Here is a 20,225-nt window from a genome sequence, read left to right on the forward strand (position 1 = left end):
TCCTTAAGACTAAATCTCTAAAAATCAGTACCCTTGAGTAATTTCCCGTATTGAATATGCACACGTTTATTAGTTTGTTGTTTTTAATTTAATATTAAAGATTAATTTCAATTTTCTAGCACTTGATACTCATGAGAAGGTTAACTCTCCTCAGGTAGCTGTGCTTGTTCCATAATGTCTTATCTTTGGTTAGGTTATAATCAAATTCAATCGTTTTATGGTTGGGAGAATTGCCAGGAAAGACAAGAAGAATTACATATATTTTCAGATTAATTAAAAATCTAAAATATTGTCAACTGTGGTAGAGTTTCATAGTAATAATTTGAACAACTTATTTTAAATCAATGTTTATTGCATCTCAAAAGGACCTGTGATAGGTTCTGTTGTCACTAGTTAAAGAATAAAAGGTATTATCCCTTTCACTATATTTTCTTAAGTTAGATATTTAGATGAACAGAGAAATGATATGAATACCCATTATTTTCATGTGTATTACTTTATAAGTATGCATGCTAGTAAAGTTTTGATCAGCTTTTCAGAAGTAGGTTTTAGATTCAAGTAAAAGCACAGTGAAGAAAGACTAGCAGTCCTTTGGAGATGTTTGTAATGTCAAAATAGATATTGGTATGTCTTTGTCTCAGGTCAGCCCAAGACAGATTTCTGGCTCTTCCCCTCATAACCAATTAGTAATTGATCAACTTCAGTATCTTATAATGTAAGATGTTCCACTCCAGTTATCCAAGTCACACCCAGAAAGGTGGTAGAAAGATAATTATGGAAGCACAGGTGAAAGAAAAGGAAGAGTGAATGAAAGCAGAAAATAAGAAGGGGAAAAAGACAGAAAAATGAAAGCATTGCAAGAGCAAAGAGTTGCCTATGAGGAAAAAAAAAAGATGAGTGAGAGAAAAGAAATTAAAGATGCTTCTAGGGATCACAAGAAATGGAAACGAACTAAGTTCAAGGAATTAAGGTGGTATGGTTTGGCTCTGTGTCCCCACCCAAATCTCATCTTGATTGTACCCCCATAATTCCCACGTGTTGCAGGAGGGACCCAGTAGGAGATAATTTGAATCATAGGGGTGGTTTCCCCAATACTGTTCTCATGGTAGTGAATAAATCTCATGAGATCTGATGGTTTTATCAGGGGTTTTCACTTTTGCATCTTCCTCATTTTTCTCTTGCCACCGACATGTAAGAAGTGCCTTTCACCTCCCACCATGATTCTGAGGCCTCCCCATCCATGTGGAACTTACTGTAAGTCCAACTAAACTTCTTTTTCTTTCCGGTCTCGGATGTCTTTATCAGGGGCATGAAAATGGACTAATACAGTAAATTGGTACCAGTAGAGTGGGGCATTAATGAAAACATACCCAAAAATGTGGAAGCGACTTTGGAATTGGGTATCAGGTAGAGGCTGGAACAGTTTGGAGGGCTCAGAATAAGACAGAAATATGTGGGAAAGTTTGGAACCTTCTAGAGACTTGTTGAATGGCTTTGACAAAAACATTGATAGTGATATGAACAATAAGGTCCAGACTGTGGTGGTCTCAGATAGAGATAAGGAACTTGTTGGGAACTGGAGCAAAGGTGACTCTTTAGCAACGAGACTGGCAGCATTTTGCTCCTGCCCTAGAGATTTGTGGAACTTTGAACTTGAGAGAGATCATTTAGGTTATCTGGAAATTTCTAAGCAGCAAAACATTTACAAGGTGACTTGGATGCTATTAAAAAGCATTCTGTTTTAAAAAGGAAATAGAGCAAAAAAGTTCAGAAAATTTGCAGCCTGATGATGCAGTGGAAAAGAAAAACCCATTTTTTTGAGAAGAAATTCAAGCTGGCTGCAGAAATTTGCATAAGTAACAAGGAGTCAAATGTTAATCCCCAAGACAATGGGGAAAATGTCTCCAGGGCATGTCATAGGTCTTCATGGCAACCCCTCCAATCACAGACCCAGAAGCCTAGAAGGAAAAAATGGTTTCGTGGGCTGGGCCCAGGGTTCTCATGCTGTGTGCAGCCTAGCGACTTGGTGCCCTGCATCCCAGCCACTCCAGCTGTTGCTAAAAGGGGACAGGGTAAAGCTCAGCCATGGTTTAAGAGGGTGCAAGCCCCAAACCTTGACAGCTTCCATGTGGTGTTGAGCCTGCAGGTACACAGAAGTCAAGAATTGAGGTTTGGGAACCTCCACCTAGATTTCAGAAGAAGTATCAAAATGTCTGGATGCCCAGGCAAAATTTACTGCAGGGACAGGGCCATCATGGAGACCCTCTGCTAGGGCAGTGCAGAAGGGAAATGTGGGCTTGGAGCCCCCACACAGAGTCCCTACTGGGGCACCACCTAGTGGAGCTGTGAGAAGAGGGCCACTGTCCTCCAGACACCAGAATGGTAGATCTACTGACAGCTTGCACTGTGCACCTGGAAAAGCTAGACACTCAATGCCAGCCTGTGAAAGCAGCCAGAAGCAGGGGGTTACACCCTGCAAAGCCATAGGGGCAGAGCTGCCCAAGACTATGGGAACCTACCTCTTAGATCAGCATAACTTGGATGTGAGACATGGAGTCAAAGGAGATCATTTTGGAGCTTTAGAATCTGACTGCACCGCTGGATTTCATACTGGCATGGGAACTGTAACCCCTTTGTTATGGCCAATTTCTCCTATTTGGAATGGCTGTATTCACCAAATACCTGCACCCCCATTGTATCTAGAAAGTAACTAGCTTGCTTTTAATTTTACAGGGTCATAGGCAGAAGGGACTTGCCTTGTCTCCAATGAGACTTTGGACTGTGGACTTTCGGGTTAATGCTGAAATGATTTAAGACTTTGGGGGACTGTAGGAAGGCATGATTGGTTTTGAAATGTGAGGACATGAGATTTGGGAGGGGCCAGGGGCAGAATGATAAGGTTTGGCTCTGTGTCCCCACTCAAATCTCATCTTGAACTGTACTCCCATAATTCCTACGTGTTGTGGAAGGGACCCTGTGGGAGATCATTTGTATCATGGCTGTGGTTTCCCCCTACTGTTCTCGTGATAGTAAGTAAGTTTATGAGATCTGATGGTTTTATCAGGGGTTTCTGCTTTTACATCTTCCTAATTTTTCTCTTGATGCTGCCATGTAAGAAGTGTGTTTCACTGCCTACCTGATTCTGAGGCCTCCCCAGCCATGTGGAACTGTAAGTCCAATTAAACCTCTTTGTCTTCCCAGTCTTGGGCATGTACTTTATCAGCAGTGTGAAAATGGACTAATACATAAGGTGACCTTAGGAAGAGAGGAAATGGAATATGATGGGATAATTCATTCATTTATTAAGAATCCTCGATGTACTGTGTGCTAAGCACCATGACAGATCTTTTCTATAAGGTAAAGTAAAATATTGTTTCAGATTTCAAAAGACTTACAGTATGTTGTAAATATTAGTTCTAGCTAAGAATGAACTTGAAATATTCTGATTAGAGTTAGATGTATTGTCTGCTGTTGCACTGGCCCTTATCATTACATGAAGAAAAAAAAATTGTGAATGACTTTCTTTTTTTTAAGACAGTCTCACTCTGTCTCCCAGACTGAAGTGCAGTGGCACAATCTCGGATCACTGCAATCTCTGCATCCTGGGTTCAAGCGATCCTCCTACCTCAGCCTCTGGAGTTGCTGGGATTACAGGCGCAGGCCACCATGCCCAGCTAATTTTTTTTTTTTTTTTTGTATTTTTAGTAAAGACAGAGTCTCACCATGTCAGTCAAGTTGGTCTTGAAGTCTTGACCTCAAATGATCCACCCACCTTGGCTTCCCAAAGTGCTAGGATTACAGGCATGAGCCACTGTGTCCAGCCATGAATGACTACTTTTTAAAAGGCAAGACAACAGAGGCTGCTTAAAACAACAAATAATCACGAAATTATAGCAGGTTTCTGTATATAAAATATGATTAAATGGCACCAGGAAAGCCTTTATTGCCCTACATTTTCCCTTTGAAAGTGCTTCAATTTTTCTACGTTTTCAATCCATTCTTATAGCCCAGAAAAGTAGGAAGAAACATCCTTTTCCTGTCCCGTCTCAGGTTTCCATTTGTCCACAAAATAAGCACCACTAACTTCTTGTATGTAATGGGTTGAAGCATCCAAACTTCCTTCCATTTCTCATTTGCTTTTCCTATGTGAGAAGTGATTGATCTCGCTGAGCAGACTGTGTATCAGTCTGTTCTCACACTGCTATAAAGAAATAACAGAAGCTGGGCATGGTGACTCATGCCTGTAATCCCAGCACTTTGGGAGGCTGAGGCGGGTGGATCACTTGAGGCCAGGTGTTCAAGACCATCCTGGCCAACATGGTGAAACCCCTTCTCTACTAAAAATACAAAAATTAGCCAGGCATCATGGTGGGTGACTGTAATCCCACCTACTCAGGAGGCTGAGTCAGGAGAATTGCTTCAACCTGGGAGGCCAAGGTTGCAGTGAGCCGAGATGGTGCCACTGCACTACAGCCTGACAGAGTGAGATTCCATCTCAAAAAAAAAGAAAAAAAGAAAAGGAAATAAATATCCAAGATTAGGTCATTTATAAAGGAAAGAGGTTTAATTGACTCACAGTTATGCATGGCTGGGGAGGCCTCATGAAACTTACAATCGTGGCAGAAGGCAAATCACCTTCTTCACAAGGTGGCAGGAGAGAAGTGAGCAAAAGCAGGGAAAACTGCCTTATAAAATCATCACATCTCATGAAAACTCACTTACTATCATGAGAACAGCATGGGGAAAACCACCCCCAGAATCCAATCACCTCCCACGTAGTTCCTCCCCTGACACATGAGGATTACAATTCTAAATGAGATCTGGGTGGGGACACCGAACCAAACAATATCAGACAGTATGAATATGACTCCTGTTAATTCCTATTTTTCTATCAGGTGGGGTTATGTACTAAACATCTCTGTGTATGTATGGCCTCTCCTCCCTATTCCAGCTCTTAGTAGGCATGAGATATATAGCTGATTGAGTGAGCCTTCTCTGCAAACTGACACTCCCACATTGGGGTCTTAAGATGTGAACTTGGCAATGTGGTGAGGAATGCGGGTGGAGGAAGCATTTTACCAGATCCAGGCCAAACCCTCCAGTTCAGCTTTAGCTGCAATAAAGTGGTATTGGTCTCTATCTGACCCCTACACATATTTTTCAATTAGTCTAGTGTGTTATCATCGTCTTTAAACCATAAGGACGCTTTAGCTCAAATGAGCCTTCTATGTGGAAAGAGTGGCTAATTAAGCTCACGTGTGCCATTAATTCCTTGGTTTGAATGAGTACATAAGTTTCCTTCTAGAGAACAGGACCTAGAGGTTCTGTGGGGCAGAGAGAAAGGGAAGGCTGGAAGCTCCTCATGCTATGTTGGTGTCCTGCAATGAGGAAGGGGGTAGAGTTACTGAATAAGAAAAGAGAGACACAAGAGGGGGCGAGAGGACAGAAAAATCACACTATGCCATCAATACTTTCTTTACGAAAAGCTCTCATTTTAAGTGTTAACTAGTATCCCTTCCTAATAGATCCTTAGAGAACCTTGTCCCAGGGAAATTCATAAGCACTGTATTGAGATAACAATAACCACTTATTGCAAAGGGAGAGTTGCCCCTACCCCAGCAATAAACAAACAAAAGGAAATAAAACATTGAACAGATTATTTTATGTTCCTCTAAAGTTTTTCCTTTACCAAATTTATTTACTTTTGTGTTGATACAGAGAGCAGGTATCGTGTTAACCAATTTTTACAGATGAAGACCTTGAGGACTGGAGAAATTAAGGATATGGTTAAGCAATGATGAAACCATGATTCAAGTACAGTTCCATCTATTCATTTCTAAAGCCCTTTCCCCTGCAGGATGTCATGCCATGGTCTTGCTTTAATACTTCATTGCTATTCCCTGTTTCTGAACTGGCAAGTTACTCATCTCCTTTTTTTAAAAAAAAAAATACCATACAAATATATGGTCTCACTGAGGCCTTATATAAATTAAAAGACATCTTAGAGCACAAAGTATTTGAACTAAGGAGGCTGACCAGGACGGCTGAGACTGGGGAAACTCATCTAACAGTATGTATCATTGGAATTCTGCCTCAGTCCTGTCTGAGGCTCCATAGCAATGGTGCTGGCTTCTCTTCCCCTGCACTCACATTCACTCTAAAGTGCTTGGCCACCTTGCAGGAGGTGCAAGGAAGGTGACCTAAAATTCTTAGCACTCACCTACCACAAGGTTATTAAGAAGCTGAAGTTGAAGATGCTTTTGAAAATTGCAAGGAATTTTGGGGGAAGTTGTTGCTCTGTTAGTCTATCTATACCTTAGTGGGAGAACATGAGAAAGCAGAGAGGTGAGGTAAAGTGTGTGTAAAGGAAGAGCATGTGATGCTGACTCTATTCTGCAGTGCTGGATTCAGAGCCCAAAGCAAGAAGGATCAGAAAGAGGTGAATCTTTGACTGAGATGAAGGTGTATTGATGAATATACTGAATTGAACATAGTAATTACTGCACTGAAACCACCCTTGAGAACAAACTTACTGTAGCAGCATCTCCTCACTAGTACCCATAATTCCTTCATCTATGAGACTTCTCCAGTGATTCCTTGATGGTTCCATGCCCAGATCAACTTAATGATGTCTTTCTTGGCTCCTATTTCTAGGATGTGATGCATTACAAACCTACACTCATTATTTTGTCTTACCTGCCTGTTCCTCTAGTAGTCTCAGTTTCAGTTTACAACATCATCATCTACATGATGTCCCAAAATGGAAATCTCAGTCTATCCACAATCCCTACTTTCTACTCACTCCCATATCTAATAAGTGTAAAGGAAAGTAAAAGCAAAGGGAAATCCAACTCTCAAATCTAGTGCCTCCACCACCCCCCTTGTTTCCTCATTCTCTATGCCTGGAAAATTACAATAACCTCCTAACCAAACTTAGTCATCAGCTTCTCCCCACTCTAATGTGCCTCCAGAAAGCAGGATTGATTAAGCTCTCAACTGATGCTTAATACTCTATAAAATACAGCCAAAACTCCTTAGTAGAACACCAGCCTATCTCTTTAGTTTCACTTTTTATCCCTTCTTTAATCACTGAACTCCTTCCTTTTGGTCAAGCATGGCTCACCCTATCTTGACTTCGAGGTTCCCTGGATGCCCTTTCTTCTGTTGTTATGCACTTCTCCCATTTCAACTTGGAAAACCCAGCTTCTTTTGAAGATCCAGTGGGACTATTACCAGTTGTAAAACCTGGTCTCACATCCTCTTTGTGCTTACTGAGCACTATTGTACATGATTCCATGTACACATTATATTTTAATTATTAATTGTTTGTCTCCTTTTGCCCATAATCTGTAGGATCACAGCCACAAGTCACAAAAATGGAATCTTTCAGATTTAAGAAACAAAAAGGAAAATATATTGGGTAGTTGTTAGAATTCTCTGAAAGTCAAAGAACCAGGCTTCAAACAGTCTTGAGTATGTAGGTCTGCACAGCAGTAAGGATCACAGATAATATTATGTAACAGAACCAATCAGGAAAGGACTCTGCTGACATCATATTGAACAAAGGACACCATAGTTTACAGCCAGTTCTGAATAATAGATTCCCCTACTGGAACTACTGCTATCAATGCCAATGTGTATTTACTCATGTATTTGTCTATTGCTAGAAGGTTAGGTCTGGAGGACTTCACATGTTGTTTTGTTCCCTGTGGTATACCCAGAGCCTAGCACAGTGCCTGGCTTAAAATAGTGTTCGTGAATAGTATTTATATGTGTATATTTTCCTCTGCTTCTGCTTCTTTGCTCAATTAGCTTCTATTTCAAAGACCAGAGTAGGTGCATCTCATTGGTTGAGCCTAGGTCATGTGCCCAACCCCTCACTGCAAGGAAAGCTAGAAAAGCAAGTTTCTGGGGTTTTTAACAGTTATAGTGAGAGATGAATTCTGCCTCTCGATAAGATGAATGTAGACGATTAGAAAAGTTTCAAATAATGCAAATATCCACTAAAACTACTAGATACGTTTAAAACTTAGTTATTCAATTGTAATAACCCCATTGCTCAAAAGACCGAGGTGGCCACTGGCTTCTACATTGAACAGTGCTGATATAGAACATTTTCATTATCACACAATATTCTATTGAACAGTATTGGCCTAGACAAAACCCCTAATTTTATTAATGTGTAAAGTGAGGACCCTGGAGGTTAAATGGTGTATCAAGGTCACACAGCCAGCTAGTATCCAGTTCAAAATTAGATACCAAATTTCCTGACTCCATGTTTATTCCTCTATCACTACTTATTGTCTTTCAACTTACAGTTGTAAATGTTATGTTTATTTTGGTTCATTTCCTCAATTTGTCAAAAGCTTTTTGATTCCAAAGTCTGTGGTTTGTTGTGTTAGATTGCAGAATCGAAAAGTTTTAATGAAAAGCTTTCATGGCTATAAAGACCATTAGTAGCAGAGCCTGGATTAGAACCAGTGTTCACTGACTCCTAGTCTTCAAATGATTTGTTGCATAGAATGTTGAGAGAAAAAATCTTGAAGTTTTTAATTTAGCCAGTCATAGAAAGGGGACTAAACTCATGTACCACACAAATGGTGAGAGAGAAGATACCAGTTCGTTTTCAGCAATGGTCGTCTGAATTCCTGCCAATATCTACAGAGTGGCAGGGGCAATTTCAGCTACAGTTAAGAAGTTGATCTCTGACATGAAACACTACTTTTCAAGCATTTCCCAAAGGCTTGAAAAGTAGCTAGACAAACAGATTCAAAAGAAATATTGACAACCATGGGAACTCAAAGACTGACTTTCTTACTGCTTGCGGACACACTCACTGCACCCCTAATGACTATGAAAGCTGCAGAGAACACACCTGGTCTCTTAGGTGGCACTGTGGAGGCTCAAAGGAAGGCATCAGCCCCAGCAAGATTCTCATGCTTCTATCATAAACCCAAAGTGAGTGGGTACCAGCTGCCATAGACTGCTAGGTTACCAGCACTCTGAGGGTGATTCTGAGGGATGAAGATTCAAATATTTTACTTTTCTGCCCTGTTTTTTTAGTAGGATTAGGAAGCTACTATTCATACTGCCTGGAATAAATTATGATATCTAGAAACACTTATTTTATGCTCTCCAAATAGTACACAGCACAATGCTAAAAGAATGTAAGTGAATGGTACACCCAGCCTCTGACAGCTGAAGCTTTTGATCCTCAGCAGACCACATAGACATCATCTAAATAAGAATAGACATCATCTGAATAAGAATAAGGACAGACATCCCAGCTCATATCTCAAGCCTCTGCCTCTTCTGGTTCCTCACTATTTGGTGAGATGTGCCTCACCCTATATTTTAAAAATATTTTCTAGCTATTGGCTTGGCGTGATGGCTCACATATGTAATCCCAGCACTTTGGGAGACCAAGACAGGTAGATCACTTGAGGCCAGGAGTTTGAGACCAGCCTGGGAAACATGGAAAAACTCTGTCTCTACCAAAAATGCAAAGATTAGCTGGGTGTGGTGGCACACGCCTGTAGTTCTAGCTACCTGGGGGGCTGAGGCATGAGAATTGCTTGAACATGGGAGGCGGAAGCTTCAATGAGTGGAGATCATGCCACTGCACTCCAGCCTGGGGGACAGAGTGAAACTCCTCATTCTTTACATATCTTGAAGGCAGGGAATGAGGCTCATTCTTTTTATCTGTTGTTCATTCAATACTATTCATGAACACTATTTAAGTCAGGCACTATGCTAGGCTCTGGATATACCACAGGGAACAAAACAACATGTGAAGTGCTCCAGAGCTAACATTCTAGCAATAGACAAATAAATGAGTAAATACCCAGATAGAAGTACACAAATAGGAATAAGGGGTGATGAAGGCACATGCTGCTTTAGAGAGGATGGCCAAGGAAAGTATTTCAGATGAGACTATAGAAACCTGAGTAAAGTGAGGAAGTACATCATACATGTGTGTCTGGAAGAAGAGCTTTTCAGGCAGAGGAAAGAGCAAGGGGCTGATTCCACATGTATCCACAAACATAACATGACTACTTGTTACCTAATATGTACCTTACACAAAGGAGAGGGATGAGAAGACACAGATTCTGCAGACCAGAAGATCAAACAAATACAAAGACTAAAACAATAGGAAAATGGAGAAGAAATTGACTACCTACCCACAGAAGCATCTCCAATCCTGCTACACAGTATCTCTCAGATATGTGTGGCTCTTCTTTACACCACATAAATGCCTCACCATAAAACCACTAATACAATCCGTGCACCTTAAATATCAAAGCATATTTAAATTCACTCGACTGTACATATTTAAAGTCTAAGAACAGTTCAAAATATCATTTCCACAGCCCTTACTATCACCAGCCCCTTAAAGGGAAATTAAGAGGGTAAGGCAAAGCACTTCTCTATTTAGTGTGGTGAATTACCTCAGCAAAATAATGATGGAAGCAAAAACAATCACAAAGAAGATAGGCCAAGTTCCATTTCAACTGGAAAAGATCAGGGAAATATAGCACTGAGACTTGCTCATGTTTAAACTAAGGCAAGAACATTTGAAAGGCCTTCAGGTGCTCAACAGTTCTCCAGTCTAAAACAGTTTTGGAGGAGAATCCAGAGGCTTAAAAGACTGGGAACCAGGGGATTAGAGGATGATGAAGAGGGAAGATAAATGACAGTGACAACATACTAAAATTGTTAGCAATAATTGTATTAGTCCATTCTCACACTTCTATAAAGAAATATGCAAGACTGGGTAATTCATAAGGGAAAGAGGTTTAATTGACTCACAGTTCTGCTTGGCTGGGGAGGCCTCAGGAAACTTACAATCATGGTGGAAGGGGAAGCAGACATGTCTTACAGGATGGCAGGAGAGAGAAGAGTGAAGGAGGAACTTTCAAACACTTATAAAACCATCAGATCTCATGAGAAGTCACTCACTATCACAAGAAATACTGAGTTGGGAGAGGACCACCCCCATGATCCAATCACTTCCCTGCCTCAACTTGTGGGGATTACAATTCAAGATGAGATTTGGATGGGGACACAGAGCCAAACTGTATATTTCTGCCCTGGCCTCTCCCAAATCTCATGTCTTTTCACATTTCAAAACAATAATGCCTTCCCAACAATCCCCCAAGTCTTAACTCATTTCAGTATTAATTCAAAAGTCCACAAATGAAAGTCTCATCTGAAACAAGGCAAGTCCCTTCTGCCTATGAACCTGTAAAATCAAAAGCAAACTGGTTATTTCTGAGTTATAGTGGAAATAGAGACATTGGGTGACTCCCATTCCAAACTGGGAAATTGGCCAAATTTGCAAGGGGCTACAGGCCCATGCAAGTCTGAAGTCTGGCAAGGTATTCATTAAATCTTAAAGCTTCAAAATGATCTCCTTTGACTCCATGTCTCATATCTAAGGCATTCTGATGCAAGAGGTGGGCTCTCACAGCCTTGGGCAGCTCCACTCCTGTGGTTTTGCAGGGCTGGTGCCCCCAGCCCATCCCTGGCTGCTTTCATGTCTAGCATTGAGTGTCTGCAGCTTCTCCGGGCACATGGTGCAAGCTGTTGGCGTATCTCTTATCCTGGGGTCTGGAGGACAGTGGCCCTCTTCTTACAGCTCCACTAGGCAGTACCCCAGTGGGCACTCTGTGTGGGGGGTCAAGCCCCACATTTCCCTTCCACACTGCCCTAACAGAGGTTTTCTCTGAGGGCTCCACCTTCATAGCAAACTGCTGCCTGGACATCCAGGTATTTCCATACATCCTCTGAAATCTAGACGGAGGTTCCCAAACCTCAATTCTTGAATTCTGTGCACCTGCAGGCCTAATATCACATGGAAGCCACCAAGGCTTGGGTCTTGCACCCTCTGAAGCAATGGTCCGAGCTGTGCCTTAGCCCCTTTTAGCCAAGGCTGGAGTTGATGTGGCTGGGATGCATTACACCAAGTTCTGAGGTTCCATAAAGCAGCACAGCCCTGGGCCTGGCCCACAAAACCATTTTTTTCTCCTGGGCCTCCAGGCCTGTGATGGGAGGAATGGCTGTGAAGGTCGCTGACATGCTCTGGAGACCTTTTCCCCATTGTCTTGGTGAATAATATTTGGCTCTTAGTTACTTATGCAAATTTCTGCAGCTGACTTGAATTTCTCTCCAGAAACTGGGTTTTTCTTTGCTCATGATCAGGCTGCAAATTTTCCAAATTTTATGCTCTGCTTCCTCTTGAATGCTTTGCTGCTTAGAAATTTCTTCCATCAGATACTCTAAATCATCTCTCTTAAGTTCAAAGTCCCACAGATCTTTAGGGCAGGGTCAAAATGCCGCCAGTCTTTTTGCATAGCAAGAGTAACCTTTACTCCAGTTCCCAACAAGTTCCTTATCCTCAACTGAGATCACCTCAGCCTGGACCTTATTGTTAAGACGCCTATTAGCATTTGGGTCAAAGCCATTCAGCAAGTCTCTGGGAAGTTCCAAACTTTCCCATATCTTCCTGTCTTCTTCTGAGCCCTCCAAACTGTTCCAACCTCTGCCTGTTACCCAGTTCCAAAGTTGCTTCCACATCTTCAGGTTATCTTTATAGCAGTGCCCCACTCTCTGCAGTACCAATTTACTGTATGAGTGAGTACATTCTCAGACTGCTATAAAGAAATACCCAAGACTGGGTAATTTATAAACCAAAGCAGTTTAATTGACTCACATTCCACCTGTCTGGGGAGGCCTCAGGAAACTTACAAGCATGGTGGAAGGGGAAGTAGGCACATCTTACATGGTGGCAGGAGTGAGAACAGTGAAGGAGGAACTTCCAAACACTTGTAAAACCAGCAGATCTCATGAGAATGCACTCACTGTCATGAGAACCGTGTGGGGGAAACTGCCCCCATGATCCAATCACCTCACTCCCTTGACACGTTGGAATTACAATTCACAATTAGATTTGGGTGGGGACACGGAGCCAAACCATATCAATAATTAATAACAAAAAATTGTTAACAACAAAAAATAGAGCATTCTAAAGAACAAAAGTATAAGTGCAGGTACTGGAAACAAAAAGAAAAGGACCACTATTTTGTTTAATACCTATTTATAAGGTCTGTGCATTAATAAGAAGATGGTAGTCCTATATATATGTATGTATGATACATCAAGAATCCAACCAATTCTCTGTCACTACAACCACTGCTACCACCCGGTCCAAGCTACCACTTTGTCTCACCTGAGTTATTTAAATAGTCTCCTCTATTATCCCCCACTTCTGTCTTTAACTGGTCATTCTTCTGCTCATTTTCATTCAGTGGCTTCCCATCTCACTCAGGGTAAAAGTCAAAGCCCCTACAGTGGCCTGCAGTGGCCTACAGAGCCCTATGTGTTCTGTCTTGCCCCCACATTCTGACTTCATCTTTTTTTACTCTTCCATAGGATGACTCTATTCCTTCCATACAGTCCCTCTTGCTGGATTTTGAACATACTAGGCATGTTTCTCTATTGGGAATTTTGCTTTCTTCTCTCATTCTGTTTAAGACAGCTCAAATGCCATTTGTCAGAGATTTTTACCACTTTGTTTGAATAATAACCTACCTTCCCCCCATGTAACCCCATTTTGACTTTTATGCCTCCATGTGTCCCTTGCCTTGTTCTACTTTTCCCCTCACAATACCACCTGACATGCTAAATATTTATTTGCTTATTTGTTCATTATTGATCATTTCTTATAAGCATATAAACTTCTTGTGTCCAGACTTTATCTATTTTGTTCTAGATGAATGTTTGTTGATGAATGAATGAATGAATGAATGAATGAATGAAGAAAGATAAGGAAATGAGAGCTAGAGTTTCTCAACCTCATAGTTGAGGCAGAAGTAAATCATACACAAAAAGAATCAGAAAGATAAAGAAATTATATTGATGATAATGAGGAGGAGGAGGAGGATGGTGGTGATGAGGATGATGATGATAGTAACTATTAGTTACTGATCTTTTATTAGGCACTGTCATTGTTTGCAATACCTCGTTTAATTCTCTTGCAATTATACAATGTAGGCCCTATTGTTATCTCAGTTTTCTAAATAAAGAAACTGAGGTTTTGAAGAGTTAGATAACTTGTCCGAGGATGCACAGTTGGTAAACATAAGAGCAAATTTTTAACTCGTATCTGCCTTCAGAGTCTGCATTTCTAACAGTTAATCTAACATCTCAAGATAACTACAGCGTTGTTATCTTGGGTCTGCAAAAATAAAACAACAAAACTGAAGGAGTGCCTAAAGCAGGAGTCCAAAAATAAAACCACATTCATAGAGTTAGCAAACTAGCCTCCTTATTATAATGATAACCTATGATTCTGATTCAATAAGGAATACTAATTAAGAGGCAACAAATTAAAGCAAACGAAAAGGTAACTAACTACACATAAAATAAAATAACTCTCCAGACTTGAATTATTTAATTCTCACTCTATTTGTGGTATTCCAAGATCTTGGCAAACTGACCTTTTCTCTTAATTTGTCCTCATTAGTAGCTCCCAAGTTTACATCATATTTTCCCCCACATTCAGTTTCTTCATGAAATATGTAGGCTTAGCTTCTGGTTCAGTTAGAGTCAACATGCAATCCCATTTTTCTGCAGCCACTCTATGATTTCATCTTAAGTGAGGGCTGTTGTTTTCTACAAAATAAGTGGGTGATAATTATTTTGTTTTGTTTAGTTTCACACTGAGAAGATGAGTGTGAAAAATCTAAAGAGGCAATTATTTTAATAAAATATTTTCTGCACAGTAGAATAGCAGTTTTTAAAATTAAGATACTGGTGAGATTGTAGCAATATTCTTACATTCCAGTAGTAGAAGAATGGTTAAGTGGTTATGCTACTTAATATGCAATACAATATACCCATTGGAAGAAATACTCATGGAGAGTTCACATTCATATGAGGGTATGTTTATGTTGCCCTACTAAATGGAAAAACAGGGTACTAAATTGTATAAATAGTTAAATTTCAACTATAAAATATATGTGCAGCAAAGAGAGGAGTAGGAAAAAAGAAAATGATTCTCTCTGGGGAATAAATGTAGAATGATAGTTTTCATTCTACATTCTGTATTTCAAAAATAGCTTATAGAAAGCACAAATTCTTTGCATACATTAAAACTGTTTATTTCATATTTGAGGAATAAATGTGTTGATAGAAAATGCAACATGACTAAAATTCCACCTATTTGATCACAGACTATTTTGCCATACTTTCTAATGAGCTAAGAACATCGTTTCAGCATGAAAGTCTCCTTTTCTCTGACATTTAGATAAATAAGTAGACAACACATTTTCCTTATTCCAAAGCTTCCTGTTTCTTAAAAAGAAAGAGATAAGGAAGAAAGAAATGAAGGAAGAAAGGACATTTGTGATGAAATGAGCAGTCATAGTTTCTACACTGGCTGTGTGAATCTGGGCAAGAAACCAGATTCTTGTCACTTTGGTTTTGCCATCTGATATTGTTTGGCTGTGTCCCCACGCAAATCTCATCTTGAACTGTACCTCCTATAAGTCACATCTTGAACTGTACCTCCCCATATGTCATGGGAGGGTCCTGGTGGGAAGTAATTGAATCGGGGGGGTGATTTATCCCATGCTGTTCTCGTATTAGTGAATAAGTCTCACGAGATCTTATGGTTTTATAAGGGGCAGTTCCCCTGCACACGCTCTCTTGCCTGCTGCCACGTAAGATATGACTTTGCTTCTCCTTCACTTTCCCATCATGATTATAAGGCCTCCCCAGCCATGTGGACCTATGAGTTCATTAAATCTCTTTTTCTTTATAAATTACCCAGTCTCAGATATGTCTTTATTAGCAGCATGAGAGCAGACTAATACACCATGTGTAAAAGGGGAGTAATAATAAATTATGATGTAGCGACTAAGACCACCAACACTGTAACCTGATTCTAAAGCTACACAATGCAGCCATATGGTCCGAGTTCAAATTCTGGCTCCACCATATCCCAACTGTATGATCTTGGGCAGGTTAATTTATCTCTCTGTCTTGGTTTTATCTTCTGCAAAATTATGTTAAGAATGAGAAGACATTAGATTCTTGAGGTTTAATATGTGATATGGTTTGGCTCTGTGTCCTGACCCAAATCTCATTTGGAATTGTAAACCACAGGTGTCAAGGAAGGGAGCTGTTGAGAGGTGACTGGGTCACAAGAATGATTTTCTCCATGCTGTTCTCATGATAGTGAGTGAGTTCTCATGAGAGCTGATGGTTTTAAGTGTTTGGCAGTTCCCTCTTCATGTTCTCTCTCTCTCCTGCTGCCGTGTAAGACGTGCCTTGCTTCCCATTCACCTTCCACCGTGATTTTAGGTTTCCTGAGGCCTCCCAGCCATGTGGAACTGTGAGTCAAGTAAACCTCTGTTCTTTATTAATTACCCAATCTCTGGTAGTATCTTTATAGCAGTGTGAGAATGGACTATACAATATGCTTATAAAAATGCCTAGTGTATATGAGGCATTATAAAAGTGTTAACTATTGCTACTAACCTCATCAGTAGTTGATCATAATTCACTTAAAATGTCAGCAACCTTCTCAACAAATCCTTCTCTCACAGTTCTTCAGGTCAGAAGTTCAACATGGGTATCACTGGGCTTAAAGCAAGTTATCAGCTAGACTTTATTAATTTCTAGAGGCTCTTGGGTAGAATTTGTTTCCTTCCCTTTTCCAGCTTTCTGGCTTCTGCCCACATTCCTTGGCTTGTGATCCCTTCTTGCAACTTCAAAGCCAGTAACTGCAGGTTGAGTCCTTCTCATGCTATCATTTCCCTTGTTTTCTACAGCCAGGAAGGTTCTCGGCTTTGAAGGAATTATGTGCTTATATTAGGACCATCAGAATAACCCAGGATGACCTCCTCCTCTCAATGTCTTTAATCTTAACCACACTTGCAAAGTCCCTTTTGCCATGTAAAGTAACATATTTACATATTCTAAGGATAAGAGCATGGACATCTTTGAGGGCTATTATTCTGCCTATCACTTCTTCCCATTCCATACAAATATAGACACACCCACACTTTATGTATGTAATAATTTTACCACACCTTTCTCTTTCATTTCAATAAAACAATTTCATAATGCCACCATTTTAGCTATAATAGGGATAAAGTACTTTATCTTAACCCATTATTTGTAAAGGAAATAGAGACTTTACTTTTAGTTTTTGCCAAAACTATTACTTCTAGGAGATTAGGGCAGTGGCTATATTTCAGAATCTCATTTCCAGGAATGTTCAGATTAAAAGAAGAGATGATCCCCATAGCCCTTTCCAAAATCAATGATGGCACTTCTTTTTTTGCCTCTTCAGGTAGGAAGTCAAGGAACTCTGTAATGAAGGACACAACAGGCTGCTGTCCATTCTTGAGTGATGCTTAGTCCAAATATCTCCCGGTTATTTGATGCAGGAAATTCCCATGGTAACATAATCCTCATTCTTAAAGAAAAGGAATATTTTAAGAAATAAATATGGTTTTGCAATGATTATAACAGTTATTTATACTCTGACTCAATTGCTATTAGCGAATATGAAAATAGAAGGTGAGGGGATGGAAAATGATCTGGAAACATTATAAAGAAAGAAGCACTATAGAGGGAGTAGCTGGAGGTGCAGGGTGCCTTAGATCTACTGAAGGTCACTTAGAAATTTGAGAAACAGAATGGAAGGAGGGGATTTCAAGAAATGCACATCATGAATTCAGTATGTTGCCAAAGAGGAACGTGCCAGTCATGCTAACCTTGTGCTTCACTATGTTGCCAGAGGTTCTGTTGTTGGGTCTTAGAAAGTGATTCCCCAAAGGCTGGCTCTTTAAACATGTAGAGGCCTTTGAAGGTGTCTCAGAACCAAGGTCCCCGTAACCTTGTCTTGTTCCCAGCCCCCTCCAGATGTAAGGAGGGATGCTCTCTGGAATTTCCTTATTTGACCAAGAAAGCTTCCTTCCAAAAGAAATGCAACTGTCTTACACTCTCTTCCTGGGGATCTTATCAAAAAGCCAGGAAAGATAAACCATCAGAGAAGAGGAGAAACTGGGAGTTGTTGCCATGCTCAGACAGACTTTTCATCTATTCTTCTGAGGGAAGCTCCAAGAGATTCCCTAGGGAACTTTATCTGTATCATATAACAACATTTTCCCTATGCAGCTCCACCCCTCACCTTCCCTTAATGTCTGCATCCCAGGTCCTTACATCTCTACCCTATGAGTAGAGTATTTAAGCATCAACCATCTGGTCCCTATTTGAATTCATATTTTGAACTCAAAACTTGGCATGAAGCTATATGAGCATCAGTAAAAGCAACAAATATTTACTGACCACCAGCTCTGTACTAAATACCAGGCTAGACTTAGGCCAGTCACTCTGCCATTTTGATACCATTTCATGGAGAGAGTAAGAAGGGAAGGAAGGAAGGGAGGGAGAGAGAAGAGAAGAGAAGAGAAGGAAGGAAAAGAAAGAAAGAAAGAGAAAGAAAAAAGAAGAAAAAAGAAAAAGAAAGAAAGAAAGGAAGAAAGAAAGAAAGAAAGAAAGAAAGAAAGAAAGAAAGAAAGAAAGAAAGAAAGAAAGAGAAGGAGGGAAGGAAGGAAGGAAGAAAAACTATAGATATAAAGTCTAAAATACATAATTATTTTTTCCTTAAAGCAAATCTGTATTTGTGTATATAAAAGTTTAGTGAAATATCTATAGGCAGAAAAGTGATCTCACTTTCAAGTACAGTTTTGTGTTATTTAATAGCCCCCCTTACTACTTAGAAATTTAGTAATTTTAGCAGTAGATACTCTTCTGGTATTAGAAATCCTTCTACACAAGTATCATGGGGCACATGCAATATGATCAACTTTATGGCACACACCTGACTCACACACACAAATGCACACACATGCATACAAACACACACACGACTAAATCATTTAGGGTGTATGGCAAATATGAAGCAGTAGAAAAAGTACTGAATGGAGAATCACATTACCAATTTATTGCCTTCTTAGCCAACAAATTTTTGTATGTCCCTGGACCAGTCACTCAGTCTCTTTGAACTTCAATTTCTTCATCAATGAAACTGGGGACAGGAATAAATTATTCTTAATTCTAAAACTAGATTCATTTCATGCCAAACCCAATTTGTAAACAGAATTAATTTTCCAAAGCAAACAGCAACAAGCTCCCAAGGTAAACATTATTAACTCTAACTAAACATGAACAAGTAATAAAAAAGTAATAGATAATGATAAAATAATAAACTCACATTGCATCTATACCATATTTCAGGCTATCCTGCTACCTCCAACCTACCCCCAAAAGTGTAATGACAAGCAACGTTTACAAATAAGACTAAGACATCCATTATTTTCTCTCACTATGGTACCCATTGCCCACCTCAGAGACCTCAATCTCCATCTCATGTTACATTCTCACAAAATGTATGAATTAAAGGTTTCTGAGATTATCGGGGGACTTATCCCAGTTGTGTTCATGCTAAACCCTACCTAAGTCTACCACCTCTTAAAAAGATAAATGTTGCCACCCCGACACACCACGATTACATCTTCTCCCTCACAATTATTTTTTTGCTGCATATTCTTGGAGCCTTCTTCAGTGACACATGAGACTCCAAAAAAACAGGTCATTTTTCCTTTAGAATACAGACTCATAGTTTCATCATTTTGTAGCACTCTGTAGTGTTTCAGTAAAGGCTGACTCTTACTACCCGAGTTAAAATAAGAAATTCACTGACCAAATTCCATTGGTAAGAGCAAAGCAAATCTATCAATTTTTCTAACCTTATGGGATTTGGCTGCCATACCCTAAGTCTCACCAAGTCTGCCTTTACTAAGTTATAATTCATATTTTTCAAAATGACACAACATTTAACTAGATTCACATTATTATTTTCATAGTCTTCGCATAGATCCCTTAACATGTGCCTTTTGAATCAGCTTCAATATAATGTAATAACTAAATGTAAAACTCAGTTCTTTTATACTTCAGTTTCTTCCTTTTAAGAGATAAGAATTGCAGTCCAAAATGAACAGTTTCTCCCTTTAAAAAGGTATCTAATAACAAGAGCTGCTTTCTTAGATGTCTCAACACTGGGAGAGTAAAGTACCTGCTTCCTAGCAAGAAGACTGGCAGACACATCTGAGTGATTTGCACAAATGTAGGATGTGAGATTCCAGGAAGAC

This window comes from Homo sapiens, chromosome 5 (genome assembly GCF_000001405.40).
Source record: "Homo sapiens chromosome 5, GRCh38.p14 Primary Assembly".
NCBI classification, from domain to species: Eukaryota; Metazoa; Chordata; class Mammalia; order Primates; family Hominidae; genus Homo; species Homo sapiens.